Raw genomic sequence first — 20,561 nt, 5'->3', positions numbered from 1 at the left:
ATGGAATGGAATGCAATGGAATGGACACGAATGCAATGGAATGGAATGGACTGGAATGGAATGGAATGGAATGGACTTGATTGGAATGTAATGAAATGGAATGGAATGGACTTGAATGGAATAGAATGGAATGGAATGAAAAGGACTCGATGAGAATGGAATGGAATGGATTTGAATGGAATGGAATGGACTCAAAAGGAGTGGAATCAAATAGAATGGACTCAAATTGAATAGTATGGAATGGACTCGAATGGAATGGAATGCAATGAAATGGATTCGAATGGAATGGACTCGAATGGAATACAAAGTAATGTATTAGAATGGAATGGAAAGGAATTGAAAGGAAGTGAAAGGAATGGAATGGAATGCAATGGAATGGACTCGAATGGAATGGTATGCAATGGACTCAATGGAATGGAATGCAACGGAGTGGACGTGTATGGAATTGAATGGAATTGACTGGAAAGCAATTGAATGAAATGGATCCGAAAGGAATGGAATGGAATGAGCTCATATGGAATGGAATGGTATGGAATGGAGATGAATGGAATGAGATGGAATGGAATGGAAAAGAATGGACAGAAATGGAATTGCTTTGAATGAAACGGACTCTAACGGAATGGAATGGAATGACTCAAATGGAATAGCATGGAATAGGATGGATTCAAATGCCAAGGAATGGAATGGAATTGAAAGGAATGGAGTGGACTCAAGCAGAATAGAATGTAATGGAATGGACCAAATGGAATAGAATGGAATGGAATGGAATCGAAAGGAGTAGAATGGAATGGACTCGTATGGAATAGAGTGGAATGTAACAGACTAGAATGGAATGGAGTGCAATGGACTTGAATGGAATGGAATGGAATCTAATGGACTTGATTGGAAAAGAATTGAATGGAATGGAATGGACTCAAAAGTAATGGAATGCAATGGACTCAAATGGAATGGAATGGACACGAATGGAAAAAAAAATGGAATGGTATGGACTCGAATGGAATACAATGGAATTTAATGGAATGGACTCTAATGGAATGGACTCGAATGGAATAGAATGCAATGGATGTCAATGGAATGGAATGCAATGGAATGGACTCGAATGGAATGGATTTGAATGAAAAGGAATGCAATTGAATGGTCTAGAAAGCAATGGAATGGAATGTAATGGAATGGACTCGAATGAAATGGAATGGAATGGACTGGAATGGAATGTAATGAAATGGAATGGAAGGGACTTGAATGGAATAGAATGGAATGGAATGGACTTGATGGGAATGGAATGGAATGGATTTGAATGGAATGGAATGGACTCAAAAGGAATGGAATGGAATTTAAAGGAATGGAATCTAAAAAAATGGAATGTAATGGAATGGACTCGAATGGAATAGAATGGAATGGACTTGAATGGAATGGAATGCAATGGAATGGATTCGAATGGAATGGACTCGAATGGATTAGAATGTAATGTATTCGAATGGAATTTAATGGAATTGAATGGACTCGAAAGGAACGGAATGGAATGCAATGGAATGGACACGAATGGAATGGAATGGAGTGCAATGGAATGTAATGGAATGGACTTGATTGGAATGTAATGAAATGGAAAGTAATGGACTTGAATGGAATAGAATGGAATGGAATGAAATGGACTCGATGGGAATGAAATGGAATGGATTCAAAAGGAGTGGAATGAAATCTAAAGGAATGGAATCTAATGGAATGGACTCGAACTGAATAATATGGAATGGACTCGAATGGAATGGAATGCAATGAAATGGATTTGAATGGAATGGACTCGAATGGAATAGAATGTAATGTATTAGAATGGAATGGAAAAGAATTGAAAGGAAGCGAAAGGAATGGAATGGAATGTAATGGAATGGACTCGAATGGAATGGTATGCTATGGACTCGATGGAATGGAATGCAACGGAATGGATGTGTATGGAATTGAATGGAATTGACTGGAAAGCAATTCAGTGGAATGGACCGAATGGAATGGAATGGAATGAGCTCAAATGGAATGAATTGGTATGGAATGGAGACAAATGGAATGGGATGGAAAGTAATGGAACGGAATGGACTGGAATGGAATTGCTTTGAATGAAAGGAACTCTAATGGAATGGAATGGAATGGACTCAAATGGAATAGAATGGAATGGAATGGAATCGAAAGGAGTAGAATGGAATGGACTTTTATGGAATGGAGAGGAATGTAACGGACTAGAGTGGAATGGAGTGGAATGGACTTGAATGGAATAGAATGGAATCTAGTGGACTTGATTGGAAAAGAATTGAATGGAATGGAATGGACTCAAAAGTAATGGAATGCAATGGACTCAAGTGGAATGGAATGGACATGAATGGAAAAAAATGGAATAGAATGGACTCGAATGGAATACTATGGAATTTAATGGAATGGACTCAAATGGAATACAATGGAATGGATGTCAATGGAATGGAATGCAATGGAATGGACTCAATTGAAATGGAATGGAATTGAATGTTCTCGAAAGGAATGGAATGGAATGCAATGGAATGGACTCGAATGGAATGGAATGGAATGGAATGAAATGTAATGGAATGGACTTGAATGGAATAGAATGTAATGTAATGGAATGGACTCGAAGGGATTGGAATGGAATGGATTTGAATGGAATGGAATGGAATCAAAAGGAATGGAATGGAATTTAATTGAATGGAATCTAAAGGAATGGAATGTAATGGAATGGACTCGAATGGAATAGAATGGAATGGACTTGAATGGAATGGAATGCAATAGAATGGATTCGAATGGAATGGACTCGAATGGATTAGAATGTAATGTATTTGAATGGAATTTAATGGAATTGAAAGGACTCGAAAGGAATGGAATGGAATGCAATGGAATGGACTCTAATGGAATAGAAGGCAATGGATGACAATGGAATGGAATGCAATGGAATGGACTCGAATGGAATAGAATGCAATGGATGACAATGGAATTGAATGCAATGGAATGGACTCGAATGGAATGGAATGGAGTGGACTGGAATGCAATGGAATGGAATGGACTTCATTGGAATGTAATGAGATGGAAAGGAATGGACTTGAATGGAATAGAATGGAATGGAATGAAATGGACTGGATGGGAATGGAATGGAATGAATTTGAATGGAATGGAATGGACTCGAAAGGAGTGGAATGGAATCTAAAGGAAATGAACCTAATGGAATGGACTCGAATGGAATAGTATGGAATGGACTCAAATGGAATGGAATGCAATGAAATGGATTCGAATGGAATGGACTCGAATGGAATAGAATGTAATGTATTAGAATGGAATGGAAAGGAATTGAAAGGAATCGAAAGGAATGGAAAGGAATGCAATGGAATGGATTCGAATTGAATGGTATGCAAAGGGCTCGATGGAATGGAATGCAACGGAATAGACGTGTATGGCATTGAATGGAATTGACTGGAAAGCAATTGAATGGAATGGACACGAATGGATTGGAATGGGATGGAATGAGCTCAAATGGAATGGAATGGTATGGAATGGAGACGAATGGAATGGGATGGAAAGTAATGGAACGGAATGGACTGGAATGGAATTGCTTTGAATGAAAGGAACTCTAATGGAATGGAATGGAATGGACTCAAATGGAATAGCATGGAATTGAATGGATTCGAATGCCATGGAATGGAATGGAATTGAAAGGAATGGAGTGCGCTCAAACAGAATGGAAGGGAATGGAATGGTGTCAAATGGAATACAATGGAATGGAATGGAACCAAAAGGAGTAGAATGGAAGGGACTCGTATGGAATGGAGTGGAATGAAATGGACTAGAATGGAATGGAGTGGAATGGACTTGAATGGAATGGAAAGGAATCTAATGGACTTGATTGGAAAAGAATTGAATGGAATGGAATGGACACAAAAGTAATGGAATGCAATGGAATTGAGTGGAATGGAATGGACATGAATAAAAAAATGGAATAGAATAGACTCGAATGGAATCCAATGGAATTTAATGGAATGGACTCTAATGGAATGGAATGGAATTGAATCGAATGGAATAGAAAGGAAAGGATGTCAATGGAATGGAATGAAATGGAATGAACTCAAATGAAATGGAATGGAATTGAATGGTATCTAAAGGAATGGAATGTAATGCAGTGGAATGGACTCGAATGAAATGGAATGGAATGGACTGGAATGGAATGGAATGGAATGGACTGGAATGAAATGGAAAGGAATGGACTTGAATGGAATAGAATGGAATGGAATGGAATGGAATGGAATGGAATTGAATGGAATGGAATGGAATGGACTCAATGGGAATGGAATGGATTGCATTTGAATGGAATGGAATGGACTCAAAAGGAAAGGAATGGAATTTAATGGAATGGAATTTAAAGGAATGTAATGTAATGGAACGGACTCGAATGGAATAGAATGGAATCGACTTGAATGGAATGGAATGCAATGGAATGGATTCGAATGGAAGAGACCCGAATGGATTAGAATGTAATGTATTCGAATGGAATTTAATGGAATTGAATGGACTCGAAAGGAATGGAATGGAATGCAATGGAATGGACTCGAATGGAATGGAATGCAATGACTCGATGGAATGGAATGCAATGGAATGGACTCGTACCTAATTGAGTGGAATTGACACGAACGGCATTGAATGGAATGGACCCGAATGGAATGGAATGGAATGGAATGATCTCAAATGGAACGGAATGGTATGGAAAGGAGACGAATGGAATGGAATGGAATGGAATGGAATGGAATGGAATGGAATGGAATGGAATGGAATTGCTTTGAATGAAAGGGACTCTAATGGAATGGAATGGAATGGAATCAAATGGAATAGCATGGAATTCAATGGATTTGAATGCAATGGAATGGAATGGAATCGAAAGGAATTGAGTGGACTCAAACGGAAGGGAATGGAACAGACTCGAACAGAATAGAACGGAATGGAATGGAATGGAATATAATGGAATGGACTCGAATGGAGTAGAAAGGAATGGACTCGAATGGAATGGAGTGGAATGTAACGAACTAGAATGGAATGGAGTGGAATGGACTTCAATGGAATGGAAGGGAATCTAATGGTCTTGATTGGAATAGAATTGGATGGAGTAGAATGGACTCAAAAGTAACGGAATGGAATGGATTCGAGTGGAATGGAATGGACACGAATGGAATGAAATTGAATAGAATGGACTCGAACGGAATACAATGTAATTTAATGAAATGGACTCTAATGGAACGTAATGGAATGGACTCGAATGCCATAGAATGGAATGGACGCCAATGGAATGGAAGGCAATGGAATGGAATCGAATGGAATGGACTGGAATGAAATGGAATGGAATAGAATGGTCTCGAAAGGAATAGAATGGAATGAAATGGAATGGACTAAAATGCAATAGAATGTACAGGAACGGAATGTAATGAAATGGAATGGAATGGACTAGAATTGAATAGAATGGAATGGAATGGAATGGAATTGATGGGAATGGAATGGAATGGATTTGAATGGAATCAAATGGACTCGAAAGGAATGGAATGGAATTTAATGGAATGTAGTCTAATGGAATGGAATCGAATGTAATGGACTCAAATGGAAAAGAATGGAATGGACTCGAATGGAATGGAATGCAATGGAATGGATTCCAATGGAATGGACTCGAACGGAATGGAATGGAATGGATTCAAACGGAATGTAGTGGAATGGAATGGAATGGAATGGAATGGAATGGAATGGAATGGAAAAGGAATGGAATGGAATGGAAAGGAATTGAATGGAATGGAATGGAATGCAATGGAATTGGATGGAATGGACTTGAATGGAATAGTAAGGAATGGAATGGAATGGCCTCGAATGGAATGGAATGCAATGGGCTCGAGTGAAATAGAATGGATACAAATGGAATGGAATGGAATAGAACAGACTTGAATGGAATAGAATTGTATTTATTGGAATGGACTCTAAAGGAAAGGAATGGAATGGACTCGAATGGAATGCAATTGAATGGACTCAAATGGAATAGAATGGAATTGAATGGAATTGATTGGAATGGAATGGAATGCAATGCAATGGAATGGAATGGAATTGACTCAAATGGAATGAAATGGGATGGAATGGAATGGATTGGAATGAAGTAGAATGGACTCGAATGGAAGGGAAAGGAATGGACACGAATGGAATGCAGTGGAATGGAATGGAATGGAATGGAATGCAACGGAATGGAATGGAATTGACTCAAATGGAATGGAATGAAATGGAATTTACTCGAATGGAATGAAATGGAATGGACTCGAATGGAATGGACTGGAAACGATTGTAATGGAACAGAATGGAATGGACTTGAATGTAATATAATGGAATGGATTCTAATGGAATGGAATGCAATGGAATGGACTCCAATGGATTAAAATGGAATGGACTTGAATGGAATGGGATGGATTTAAGTGGACTCAAATGGGATGGGATGGAATAAACTCTAATTGAATGGAACGGAGTGGAATGTACACGAATGGAATGGAAAGGAATTCACTCGAATGGAATTGATTCAAGTGGAATGGAATCGAGTGGAGTGGAATGGAATGGAATGGAACGGAATGGAATGGAATGGACTCGAATGGAAGGGAATTGAATTAACCCGAATTTAATGGAATGGAATGGAAAGAAATGGAATCGAATGGAATGGAACGGAATGGAATTGACCCGAATGGAGTGGAATGGAATGGAATGGACCCTAATGGAATGGAATTGAATGGACCCGAATGGAATGGAATCGAATGGAATTGCAAGGCACGGAATGGAATGAAATGGAATGGAATGGAATGGTATGGAATGGAATGGAATGGACTCTAACGGAATTGAATGGAATGGAATGGAATGAAACCAAAATTAATGGAATGGAATGGACTCGAATGGAATAGAATGGACATGAATGGAATGGAATCGAATGGACCCAAATCGAATGGAATGGAATGGAATGGAATGGAATGGAATGGAATGGAATGAATTTGAATGGAATGTAGTTGAATTGAATAGATCTGAAAGGAATGGAATGGAATGAAATGGACTCGAATGGAATGGAAGGGAACGGAGTGGAATCGAATGAAATGGAATGGACCCGAATGGAATGGAATGGAATGGAATGGAATGGAATGGAATGGAATAGAATCCAGTGGAATGGAATGGAATGGAAAGGAATGGACTCGAATGGAATTGAAATGACTTGAGTACGTTGGAGTGGAATGGAATGGACTTGAAAGGAACAGAATGTGATTTAATGGAATGGACTCTAATGGAATGGAATGCAATGGATTCGAAGGGAATACAATGGAATGGAATCGAATGAAATGGAATGGAATTGAATGGACTTGATTGGAATGCAATGGAATGGAATAGACTCGAAGGAAATGGAATAGAAAGGACCCGAATGTAATGTAATGTAATGTAATGTAATGTAATGTAATGTAATGTAATGTAACGTAATGTAAGGTAATGAAATTTAATGGAATGAAAGGGAATGGAATGGAATCGACATGAATGGAATAGAATGTAATGGAATGGAATGGATACAAAGACAATGGAGTGGAATATACTCCTTTGGAATGGAATGGACTCGAATGGAATGGAATATAATTTAATGTAATGGACTCTAATGGAATGGAATCTAATGGAATGGAAAGGAATGGACTCAAATGGGATAGAACGGAATGGACGCCAATGGAATGGAATGCAATGGAATGGAATCGAATGAAATTGACTCGAATGAAATGGAATGGAATTGAATGGTCTCGAAAGCAATAGAATGGAATGAAATGGAATGGACTCGAATGGAATGGAATGTGCTGGAATGGAATGAAATGAAATGGAACAGAATGGAATGGAATGGAATGGAATGGAATGGAATGGAATGGAATGGAATGGACTTGAATGGAATAGAATGGAATGGAATGGAATGGAATGGAATGGAATGGAATGGAATGGAATGGACTTGTTGGGAATGGAATGGAATGGATTGGAATGGAATGGATTTGAATGGAATGGACTCGAAAGGAATGGAATGGAATTTAATGGAATGGAATCTAATGGAATGGAATAGAAAGTAATGGACTCGCATGGAAAAGAATGGAATGTACTCGAATGGAATGGAATGCAATGGAATGGACTCGAATGGAATGGATGCGAACGGAATGGAATAGAATAGATTCGAATGGAATGTAGTGGAATGGAACGCATTTGAATGGAATGGAATGGAATGGATTCGAATGGAATGGAATGGAATTGAATGGACTTCAAAGGAGTGGAATCGAATTGAATGGACTCGAAAAGAATGGAATGGAATGCAATGGAATGGACTCGAAAGGAATGGAATGGAATGGACTTGAATGGATTTGAATTCAATGGAATGGATTCGAATGGATTTGAATCGAATGGAATTGAATGGAATCTACTAGATTGTAATAGAATGGAATGAACTCGAATGGAATGGTTTGGAATGGAATGGACTTGTATGGAATGGAGTGGAATAGACTCGAATGGAATGGAATTGAATGGACTCGACTGGAATGGAATGTAAAGGAATGAAATTGACTAGAATGGAATGGAATGGAATGGAATGGAATCGAATGGATTTGAATGCAGTGGAATGGATTTGAATCGACTTGAATCGAATGGAATTGAATGGAATATACTGGATTGGAATCGAATGGAATGAACTCGAATGGAATGGTGTGGAATGGAATGGACTTGTGTGGAATGGAGTGGAATAGACTCGAATGGAATGGAATTGAATGGACTCAACTGGAATGGAATGTAAGGAAATGAAGTTGACTATGGAATGGAATGGAATGGAATGGAGTCGAATGGAATTCTATAGAATGGAATGAAATGGAATGGAATGTACTCGAATGAAATGCAGTGGAGTGGAATGGAATCAAATGGAATGGAATAGAATGGACCCGAATGGAATGGAATGGAACGGAATGGACGCGAATAGAATGCAATGGAATCGAAAGGGATGGAATGGAATGGAATGGAGTGGAATAGAATGGAATGGAATGGACTCGAATGGATTGGAATGGAATTTAATGGAATGGACCCTAATGGAATGGAAAGGGATGGACTCGAATGGAATAGAATGCAATGGACTCGAATGAATTTGAATGCAATTGATTCGATAGGAATGGAATGGAATTCAGTGAAACGGAATGGAATGCTATGGAATGGACTCAAATGGAATTGACTCGAATGGATTTGAATTGATTGGACCTGAATGGATTTCAACAGAATGAAATGGGTTCGAGTGGAATGGAACTGGATGGAATGGGCACTAATGGAATGGAATGGAATGGCTCAAATGAAATAGAAGGGAAAGGATTCGAATGGACTCGAATGGAAGGGAATGCCTTCAAATGGAATGGAATTGAAAGGAATGAACTTGAAAGGAATAGAAAGGAACGGAATGGAACAGACTCGAATGGAAAGGAATGGAATGGACTCGAATGGAATAGAACGGAATTCATTTGAATGGAATAGAATGGAATGCATTCGAATGGAATGGCATAAAATGGAACGTATGGAATGGAATGGAATTGAGTTGACATGAATGGAATGGAATGGACTCGAATGGAATGGACACGAATGTAATGGAGTGAAATGGAATGGAATGGAATGGAGTGGAATGGAATGGACTCAAATGGAATGGAATGGAATTGAATGGACTTGAAAGGAATGGAATGAAATGAGAGAGATTGGACTCGAATGGAATGGAATGGACCCGAATGGAATAGAATGGACTCAAATGTATTGGAATGGATTGGAACAGTCTCGAGTGGAATGGAATGGAATGGAGTGGAATGGAATGTAGTCGAAAGGCATGGAATGGAATTGACTCAAATGGAATAGAAAGGTATGGACTCGAATGGAATGGAATGCAATGGAATGGACTCGAATGGAATGGAATTGAATGGAATGGAATGGAATGGAATGAAATGAAATGGACTCAAATGCAATGGAATGGAATGGAGTCAAATGGAATGGAATGGACTGGAAAGGAATGGAATTTAATGGAAATGACTCAAGTTAAATGGAATGGAATGGAATGGAATGGACTCGAATGGAACGGAATGGACTCGAATGGAATGGAATGAAATGAAATCGACTCGAGTTGAATGGAATGGAAAGGAGTGGACTCAAATGAAATGGAATGCAATGGAATGGAATTGAGTGGAATAGAATGGAATTTACCCTAATGGAATGGCATGGAAAGGATACGACTCTAATGGAATGGAATGGAATGGAATGGAATGGAATGGAATGGAATTGAATGGAATGGAGTGGAATGGAATTGAATGGAGTGGAATGGAATGGAATGGAGTGGAATGGAATGGAATGGACATGAAAGGAACGGAAAGGAATGGAAAGGGCTGGAATGGAACGAAATGGAATAGAATGTACTCGAATAGAATGGAATTCAATGGACTCGAATGGAATGCAATGGACTCGAATGGAAACAATGGAATTGATCTGAATAGAATTGAATGGAATGGAATGGAAAGGACTTGAATGGAATAGAATGGATTGGAATGGAATGGTATTGAATGGAATGGAATGGAATGGACTCGAATGGAATGGAATGGACTTTAATAGAATGGAATGGAATGGAATAGACACGAATGGAATTGAATGGGTTTTACTGGAGTGGACTCTAATGGAATGGACTCTAATGGAGGGGAATGGAATGGACTCGAATGGAATGAACTGTAATAGAATGGTTTAGAATGGAATGGACTCGAGTGGAATGGAAAGGAATGGGATGGACTCGAATGAAATGTTATGGAATAGAAGGAATGGAATGGACTCAAATGGAATGGACCCAAATGGAAAGGAATGGAATGGAATGGTATGGAATGGAATGGTTTGGAATGATCTCGAATGGAATTGAGTGGAATGGACTGGAATCTAATGGAATGGAACAGAATGGAATGGACTCGAATGCAATAGAATGGAATTGACTCGAATGGAATTGAATTGAATGGACATGAGTGGAATGGAATGGAATGGAATGGAATGGAATGGAATGGAATGGAACGGAACGGAATGGAATGGAATGGAATGGAATGGACTCGAATGGAATGGAATGGAGTGGAATCTAATGACTCGAATTGAATGGAATGGAATGGACTCGAATGGAATGGATTCGAATGGAATGGAATGGAATGGACTCGAATGGAATGGGCTGGAATGGAATGGATTTGAATAGAATGGAATGGACTCGAAAGGAATGGAATGGAATGGACTCAATTGGAATAGAATGTAATGGAATGGACTCCAATGGAATGGAGTGGAATTGACTCCAATGGAATGGAACGGTCTCGAATGGAATGGAATGGAAAGGAATGGACTCGAATGGAATAGAATGGAATGGAATGGAATGGAATTGACTCCAATGGAAGGGGTTTGAATGGAATGGACTAGAATATATGGAGTGGAAAGGACTCAAATGGAATAGAATGGAATGGAGAGGACTCCAATGGAATTGAAGGCAATGGACTCGAATGGAATGGAAATTACTCGAATGGAATGGAATGTAAAGTATTGGACTCGAATGGAATAGCATGGAATGGAATTGAATGGACTCGAGTGCAATGGAATTGAAAGGACTCGAATGGAATCGAATGGAATGGAATCGAATGGAATGGAGAAAATTGAATGGACAAGAATGGTGTGGAATGGAATGAAATGGACCCGAATGGAATGGAATGAAATGAAATGGACCCGTATGTCATGGACTGGAATGGAATGGAATGGACTGGAATGGAATACAAATTCATACAATGGAATGGAGTTGAAAGGAATAGAATGGAATGGAAGGGAAAGGACTCGAAAGTAATAGAGTGGAATGGACTCAAATGGAATAGAATGGAATCGAATGGACTTGCATGGAACGGAACGGACTCGATCGGAATGCAATGGAATTGAATGGACCTAAAAGGAACAGAATGGATGGAATGAAATGGACTCGAATGGAATGGCATGGAATGGACTCGAATAGAATAGAATGGAATGGACTCGAAAATAATGGAGTGAAATGAAATGGATTCGAATGGAATGGACTCGAAAATAATGGAGTAGAATGGAGTGGACTTGAATGGAATGGAGTTTAATGGACTCGAATGCCAAGAAATGGAATTCAATGGAATTGACTGCAATGGAATGTAACAGAAAGAAATGTACTAGGATGGAATGGAGTGGAATGTAATGAAATGGACTCGAATGGGAAGGAATGGAATCGAATGGAATGGAATGTAATGGAATGGAAAAATGGAATGGAATGGAATGGAATGTTATGGACTCGAATGGAATGCTATTGAATTGAATGGACTCAAAAGGAATGCAATGGAATGGAATGGAAAGGAATGGAATGGACTCGAATGGAATGAAATGGAATGGCCTCGAATGGAATGGAATGGACATGAATGGAATGAAATAGAATGGAATCGACTCGAGTTGAATGGAATGGAATGGAATGGACTCGAATGGTATGGAATGCAATGGAATGGACTCGAATGGAATGGCCCCAGATGGAATGGAATGGAGTGGAATGGAATGGAATGGAATGGAATGGAATGGAATGGAATGGACTCGAATGTAATGGAATGTAATGGAAGGGACTCGAATGGAATGGAATGGAATAGAAGGGACTCGAATGGAATGAAATGAAATCTAATTTACTCGAATGGCATGGACTGCACTCGATTGGAATTGAGTGCAATGGATTAGAATTGACCCGAATGGAATGGAATGGAATTGACTTGAATGGAAAAGAATGGAATTTAATGTAATGGACTCGAAGGTATTGGAATGGAACTGACACGAATGGAATGGAATTGACTCGAATGGAATGGAAAGGAGTTTAATGGAATGGACACTAATGGAATGGAATCTAATTTAATGCAATGGAATGGATTCAAATGGAATACCATGGAATGTACTCGAATGGAGTGGAATGCAAAGGAATGGACTCGAATGTAATGGAATTAAATAGACTCAAACTGAATGGAATGGAATTGAATGGTGTCGAAAGTGATGGAATGGAATGCAATGGAATGGACTCCAAAGGAATGGAATGAAATTGACTCAAATGGAATTGAATGGAATGGACCACAATGGAATGAATGGAATGGAATGGACCCGAATGCAGTGGATTGCTTTGTAATTGAGTGGAATGGAATGGAATTTAATGGAATGGACCCTAATGGAATGGAATGGAATGGACTCGAAAGGAATAGAATGGAATGGACTCAAATGGAATGGAATGAAATGGAATGGACTGGAATTGAATGGAATGAACTCGAATGGAATGGAATGGAATGGAATCGACTCGAATTGAATGGAATGGAATGGATTGGACTCGAATTGAATGGAATGGAATGGATTGGACTCGAATAGAATGGAATGGAATGGACTCGAATTCAATAGAATGGAATGGACAGGAATGGAATGGAATGGAATTGAATGGATTTGAATGGAATGGAATGGAATCGACTCAAATGCAATAGAACTGAATGGACACGAATGAAATGGAATGGAATGGAATGGACTAGAATGGAACGCAATGGAATGGACTCGAATGGAATAGAATGGAATGGACTTGAATGGAATGGAATGGATTGGAATGGACTCGAATGGAATGGAGTGGAATGGACTCAAATGGAATGGAATGGAACTGAATTGACTTGAATCGAATGGAATGTAATGGAATGGAATGGAATCGAATGGAATGGAATGTATTGGAATGAAATGGAGTTGAATGGAATGGAATGGAATCGAAAGGAAACTAGTGGATTTGAATGAGCTCGAAAGGAATGGAATGGAATGGAGTGGACTCGATTGGAATGGAATGGTATGGACTCGAATGAAATGGAATGGATTAGAATGGAATGGAATGGAATGGAAATGACTCGAGTAGAATGCAAAGGAATGGCATGGAATGGAATGGAATCGAATAGAATGGATTGGATTGGAATGTAATGGACTCGAATGTAATGTAATGGAATCGAATCGAGTGGAATTGAATGGAATGGAATGGAATGGAATTGAAAGGACTCGAATGGAATGGAATGGAACTCAAAGGACTCGAATGGAATGGAGTGCAATGGAACGGAATGGACTCGAATGGAATGGATCGGAATGGACTCGAATGGAATGGAATTGAAAGGACTCGAATGGAATGGAATGGAACTCAATGGACTCGAATGGAATGGAGTTCAATGGAATGGAATGGACTCGAATGGAATGGATCGGAATGGACTCGAATGGAATGGAATGGACAGGTTTCGAATTGAATGGAATGGAAGGGAATGGTCTCTAATGGAATCGAATGGAATGGACTCAAATGGAATGGAATGGAATGCAATGGATTCAAATGGAATGGAATGGATACAAATTGAATGGAATGGACTCGAGTGGAATGGAATGGACTCGAATGGAATGGAATGGAATGCATTGGATTCAAATTGAATGGAATGGATACAAATTGAATGGAATGGACTCGAGTGGAATGGAATGGACTCGAATGGAATGCAATGGAATGGACTTGAATGGCATAGAATGGAATGGAATCGAATGGAATGGGTTGGACTCGAATGGACTCGAGTGGAATGGAATCGAATTTAATGAACTCGAATGGAATGGAATGTAATTGAATGGAATGGACTCAAATGGTATGCAATGAATTCGAATGGAATGGAATGATATGCAAAAGACTCGAATGGAATGGTTTGGAATGGACTCGAGTGGAATGGAATGGAATAGAATGAAATGGAATGGAATGGAATGGAATGGACTGGAATGGAATGGAATGCAATGCAATGGAGTGGACCGGAATGAAATCAGATGAAATGGAATCGAATGGAATAGAATGGAATAGAATGTACTCGAATGGAATGGACGGACTCAAACGCAAATATCACTGAGGCTTTCCTTGGAGTAGCTCCTGTAATTAGAATCATTGGTACTCTGCCCTCCTGTCAGTGGTGGAACGTTCTATCGGCATATGTGGAAGCCTGTTAGAAGGACGAGTTTCTTTGAACACAATAAAATTTTAAGTTAGGAATAACTTATTTGAAAGCAATTCATTGAAAGTTATTGCTAAGAATTTAGAAGCAAAGTCTTCTGGCAGTCATTTCTTCGAGACGTACGGCAGTGTGGGAGGGATATATAAAGTGAAATAGGAACTTGGGCTAGTTAAATGGAATAGCCTCCAATGTTAATCTGTTTACCTCTTAACTGAATGAAAAATCCTATAGTTGTAAGAAAAGAAAATATATACAATCCTCACACATTACCTTCTCATCAGCATAATTAATCTACATTGAAGATGAGTGTGGCAAAGCAGAGACTCTATATACAGAGAAAAACATAGGGAAATGCAAAGACACTGGGAGAAAAAAAGTGAAGGACAGTAGAGCAACTGGAAGCTTCTGACACCAACAGCTTGATGAACGGGGTCACTCAACCCTTGATGGACACAGAGTCACTTCTCTTAGGGAAACTCCAGTATTCTCAGGTGAAAATATACAAACATGATGAATGTACACTTGCTACGTCTCCAATTGTGTACTGTTTTCGTTACTTCTGTTTGGAGAAGGAAGTCATATACTCAGGTCTAGTATCCATGTAGGGGGTGCTCCCCATTTGCAAGATACTAGAAAAAATGGCAAGTTAGAGGCCCACTGTTGTACAAATCAACTAGTTCTGTGTGTGTGTGTGTGTGTGTGTGTGTGTGTGTGTGTTATTGAAAAAGAAGACATGGAGTGGGCATTGATCCACAAGTATATATGCCTACAGGTATTCTTAGATGTAATATTCAATTGCAGAAGACCAAACAAGATAGAGCATCCCCCAAAACCCTTCAAAATTTTTGTGCTCACTATGTGTCCACTAATTAAATGCATCCTGAGCTCCAGGGAAGGGCTCCCTGATGGTTTCTTAGAGTTCACTGGGTCTTCTAAGGTCAATGTTTTCAAAAGATTGTGTCAGTAACATATGGTGTCACTGAAGGAGCATTTTAAACTAGGGCATGACCTCTTCCTATAGCCCTAGAAACACTGAGAGATAAATCCTCTGTGAGCCCAGATGGAAACCTCCATGCAGAGCAGAGACAGTGCTGCAGAGGGCGCCCAGGACCCACCCAGAACAGGCTCCAGCCCCAGAGCTGGTGCACATGAGGCTGCAGCGGGGATTTCTCTGAGAACTGAGTGTTGTTTTATTGAAAACCAAAAAATTATAACATGTTAAAATTAGAATTTTGCAAAGACTATTTCTATTATCTCTATACATTTAGAAATAAATAAATCAACAATTCAGTGAGAACCACATTTAAAAGGCAAAATTGTTAGCGGTTTGAGGTATTTTCCTAGTAAAAAATGAAGAACAGGGATGGTTTTATTAAATCAAAAGGTACACATTTCAGAAGACACATAGATCCCAAGAGTAAGACTGCAGACAGCAAAACCCCGAAAGGGTGGAGGCTGTCCATGTGCCATGTCCTGTGTGAGTCACCTTCTTAGTGGAGAAGTTCTCCCTTCACAAAGTTCTGGGCATATAAAGGGAAACACGACTTTAAATAAGAATGAGGACTTGTACCTCAGCATCCCACAGTTGTGTGGTTCATGTGAGATCTATTTTCTCTTTCTCATGCTGGATCAAGTGTAAGGCTATGAAGTAGTAGTTCTCGTGAATATGCAAATCACCTGAGATGAACACTACAGATATGTCTGTGCCCTGAGAGCATTACCCAATAACCAGCCATGTCCTCTAGAGAAGCCCCTGAGAGCACAGCTCCTTACCATGGACTGGAATTGGAGGATCCTGTTTTTGGTGGTCATAGCTGCGGGTAGGATAATTCTCAGTCCCCAGGACTAAGGTGACTGGGTCCAGTAAAAGAGGGTTTTATCCACTCCTGTGTCCTCTCCACAGGTGCCCAGTCCCAGGTACAGCTGGTGCAGTCTGGGGCTGAGGTGAAGAAGCCTGGGGCCTCAGTGAAGGTCTCCTGCAAGGCTTCTGGATACACCATCACCAGCTACTGTATGCACTGGGTGCACCAGGTCCATGCACAAGGGCTTGAGTGGATGGGATTGGTGTGCCCTAGTGATGGCAGCACAAGCTATGCACAGAAGTTCCAGGCCAGAGTCACCATAACCAGGGACACATCCATGAGCACAGCCTACATGGAGCTAAGCAGTCTGAGATCTGAGGACACGGCCATGTATTACTGTGTGAGAGACACAATGTGAAAACCCACATCTTGAGAGTTTCAGAAACTGCAGGGAGGAGGCAGCTGTGTTCCTGCAGAGGAGATGACAGGGAAGATGAGGTTTAAAGTTGTTTAGAAAATGGGTCAAGTAACTGAGGACAAGGATCAATAGAAACAAGGACACACTCTAATTTTATGATAAATATTTTATTCAAGAGTCACCGTATACAGAAAATTCAAAGATTAGTAAAGGCCCTGTATTAGTCCATTATCATGCTGCTAATAAAGACGTACCTGAGATGGAATAATTTATAAAGAAAAGTGGTTTAATGGAATCATAATTCCACATGGCTGGGGTGGTCTCATAATCATGGAAGAAGATGAAGAAAGAGTAAACTGATGTCTTACATGGCAGCAGGCAAGAGAGACCTTGTGCCAGGGGAACTCCTGTTTATAAAACTGTCAGATCTCATGAGACATATTCACTACCACGAGAACAGTATGGGGGAAACCGCCCCCATGATTCAATTACATCCACCTGACCCCACCCTTAACACATTGGAATTATTAAAACTCAAGAAGAGATTTGGGTGGGGATACAGTCAAACCATATCAATAAAATCATATCAATGAGTATATTATTGTGAACAAGTTTTCAAATTAGATGGATGAATAATTTGAGCAAGATTATTTGATCACATGGTAAGACTAAGTATGATTCTGAAAAATGTCCAAAATGTCTTCCAAGAATGTCTCTGCTACTGTTGTTGCATAAATTTTATTTTAGAGTGGTTTTAGGATAACAGTGAACTTGAACAGAAAGTACCAGAGCTCCCATGAATCCCCGTCCAACACAGGCACAGCCTTCTCCACTATCTGCATCCTGCACCAGAGTCATATCAGCAAGTTACAAATGATGAACCTACATGGACACTTTGGTTCTTTCTTTTCCTGGTGATCCCGTGGTGTAACAAACATAAATTATCTTGGAGCACCAGAGGTATTTTCAGAGGGTTTCTAGGAATGATATTAGAGGGAAAGTGGGTAAGGTTATTCCTATCCATGCCTCTAAAAGTCCAGCAAGTTCTAGTGAATTCTACAATGAATGTTCTTTAATGAGAAATGGAGACCTTGGCCATGAGAGATGTCATGTATGAGGCCCTGTAGATGGATTACTTACACTGTAGGCTCGTGGGGTGTGTTTACGGATGAATCCCTTTTTGCAGCAAATGCAAGCACATGCGTGGGATCCAGGCAGGGACAAAAGCTCCCCCTTAGGAAGAAGGTGGGCACCTGGAAGGCCCCTCACTGAGGTGGACACTGGTGTCCTGTGCTGGCTGCACGTTGTCAAGAGGCATGAGCCTGATTGGGCTTGTAGAGGGAGAGCCTCATTGGGGTCACAGGTTATAACAATGTCTGCCATTCTCCAGCTGAACAAGCCCATCTGCTTGCTTGCCAGTGTCAATGCCATATTGGGGTGCACTCTGGAAGATGACAAGATGCACACAAACCTCCTCCCACTAATTATCCACTACTAAACATTCAAAAACCACCTGACTTCCAGAAATGGATATGCGCCTGCAGGGATAAACAGAACTTAAGTATTTTCTTATCTGGGAAAGACACTGCCAAATACTACACATTTCAGGAAAATTAGTTTGGAATGTTTAAAAACTGACTGAAGGGCAATAGTAGGTGAGGTGATGGCACAGCCTCAGGGCTGCACATGAGGAGGGCTCCCTCCCCCATGCAGGCTTTTCCTCCAGGAACTGCACCAGGAACTGAGGAAGGATTAGGGAGAATCATGGAAACATCCTTCTGCGGTGCTTGCTAGGGAGAGGAAATAAATTATGAGTAAAATATTCCCTCTGAATAAAGTATGGGCATTTGTTCATACAAATCTGTATTTCTCAAAGCTTGTGGAGGTCCTGACATAGCCACCATTAGCTGAGAACAAACATTTCACCTCTCCTTGCATGGGGAGGTCAAGCAGCCTGGAGGTGTCCCTTTGTGGATGATATTTCCCAGCCCCTTTGTCTTCCCTGCTCATCCCTGGGCCTCTGTGTGACGAGTTCTCATCAGTGGAATGTAGGTGATGTAGTGTGGTCTTCAGTTTTCTCATCTTCTTTGTTCTCATGTTCCTCTCATGGTGTGAGGTTAAGAAACTCATCTGCAACATAGCACATGACAGCGTAATCTCTCTTGTGGACAAAAAATTGGCAAAGGAGACCACCAAGTTGACCATCCCGTATAGCTGACAGTGACAACCACGGGTCAACGTCCCCTCCACAATCCTGTGTCGGAACATCATCTGAATAACTTTATTAGCAACTTTTCTCGAGAATTATCTTAAAAACTACTTGTCTCATTTTCCATGCAGTTATAACCTATTTTTCCTAGAGGACAGAGAGAGCTGAATACTGAATATATTGCATGTCTCCTGCTGTTGAAAGTTTGTGACTTTCTCACTTTCTAATTTCTTATCTGCGCAGACCACTCTACAGATTTTTCACTGTTGTGACCAGCATTCTGAATATCAAGTGTATTTGACGTTCTTCATATATCGTTCAGCACCAGCTTCTCATCATTTCACTCCTCACTGACCACTCTAACTTACACAATGTGTTTCTTTATTTGTTTAATTCTGGCATCGCTCCTTAAATTTCACCAAGCCCATTTTTTGTTATTTCTACAGGTGATTGATTGTTAATTTTAAATTTTACTTGTGCTTACTTTAATCAGGCAATAACCTAAGATAAAAAAAACATTGTAAACAAAAGTAAATGCTGTAATATTTAAGGTAAGTAAGCCAACAGCTGAGGAAAAGGGAAATCCATTATCCTGGGTAAGTGAGTATGGGGAACTCATAGTATGATTATCTTCTTCAGTTTAATTAATACTGCTACGCAAGTTATAGTGTCCTCTCTCTTTATATCAAAACTTTCCCTAACATGTACAATGAAGACTCAGCACAGATACCTTCCACCAGACTAACCTAGAACCTCTCAGCGAGTGCCTGAGCTGATAGTGATAGATATCACATTTGTCTAACAAAAAAACGACACCCTTTAAGGATATCCACCAGCCATATGGGGACAATTTGAATAATTTAGATAAAGCCCAAACTTGATAGGTAGTAATTTATAATGAGAAACTGACTCCTATCTTCACATGGGATGTTTTTAGGTTTTGTTGTTTCTTTTTTTTTCCATAGAGAACCTGCTAACGCCACTGTCCAAGTTCTGGATATCTTATTTCCCAGTATGAGAGACTGCATATT

At 39.8% G+C, this 20,561-nt stretch overlaps 1 pseudogene, besides 4 other annotated features; it reads left to right on the top strand.

Annotated features, from left to right (window-relative positions):
• Window positions 759-1,274: an enhancer, noted in NCBI's record as "OCT4-NANOG hESC enhancer chr21:10846505-10847020 (GRCh37/hg19 assembly coordinates)". NCBI's record gives its function as "activates a minimal SCP1, AML or CMV promoter by ChIP-STARR-seq in primed H9 embryonic stem cells {active_cell/tissue: H9 hESC(primed)}" and the evidence as "EXISTENCE:reporter gene assay evidence [ECO:0000049][PMID:30033119]".
• Window positions 7,659-8,598: an enhancer, noted in NCBI's record as "OCT4-NANOG hESC enhancer chr21:10853405-10854344 (GRCh37/hg19 assembly coordinates)". NCBI's record gives its function as "activates a minimal SCP1, AML or CMV promoter by ChIP-STARR-seq in naive H9 embryonic stem cells {active_cell/tissue: H9 hESC(naive)}" and the evidence as "EXISTENCE:reporter gene assay evidence [ECO:0000049][PMID:30033119]".
• Window positions 8,814-9,318: an enhancer, noted in NCBI's record as "OCT4-NANOG hESC enhancer chr21:10854560-10855064 (GRCh37/hg19 assembly coordinates)". NCBI's record gives its function as "activates a minimal SCP1, AML or CMV promoter by ChIP-STARR-seq in naive and primed H9 embryonic stem cells {active_cell/tissue: H9 hESC(naive and primed)}" and the evidence as "EXISTENCE:reporter gene assay evidence [ECO:0000049][PMID:30033119]".
• Window positions 9,741-10,659: an enhancer, noted in NCBI's record as "OCT4-NANOG hESC enhancer chr21:10855487-10856405 (GRCh37/hg19 assembly coordinates)". NCBI's record gives its function as "activates a minimal SCP1, AML or CMV promoter by ChIP-STARR-seq in primed H9 embryonic stem cells {active_cell/tissue: H9 hESC(primed)}" and the evidence as "EXISTENCE:reporter gene assay evidence [ECO:0000049][PMID:30033119]".
• On the top strand, window positions 16,876-17,321 carry IGHV1OR21-1 (immunoglobulin heavy variable 1/OR21-1 (non-functional); annotated as a pseudogene).

This window comes from Homo sapiens, chromosome 21 (assembly GCF_000001405.40).
Source record: "Homo sapiens chromosome 21, GRCh38.p14 Primary Assembly".
In the NCBI taxonomy this organism is placed as follows: domain Eukaryota; kingdom Metazoa; phylum Chordata; class Mammalia; order Primates; family Hominidae; genus Homo; species Homo sapiens.
This window is presented reverse-complemented; position numbering and strand designations above follow the sequence as displayed.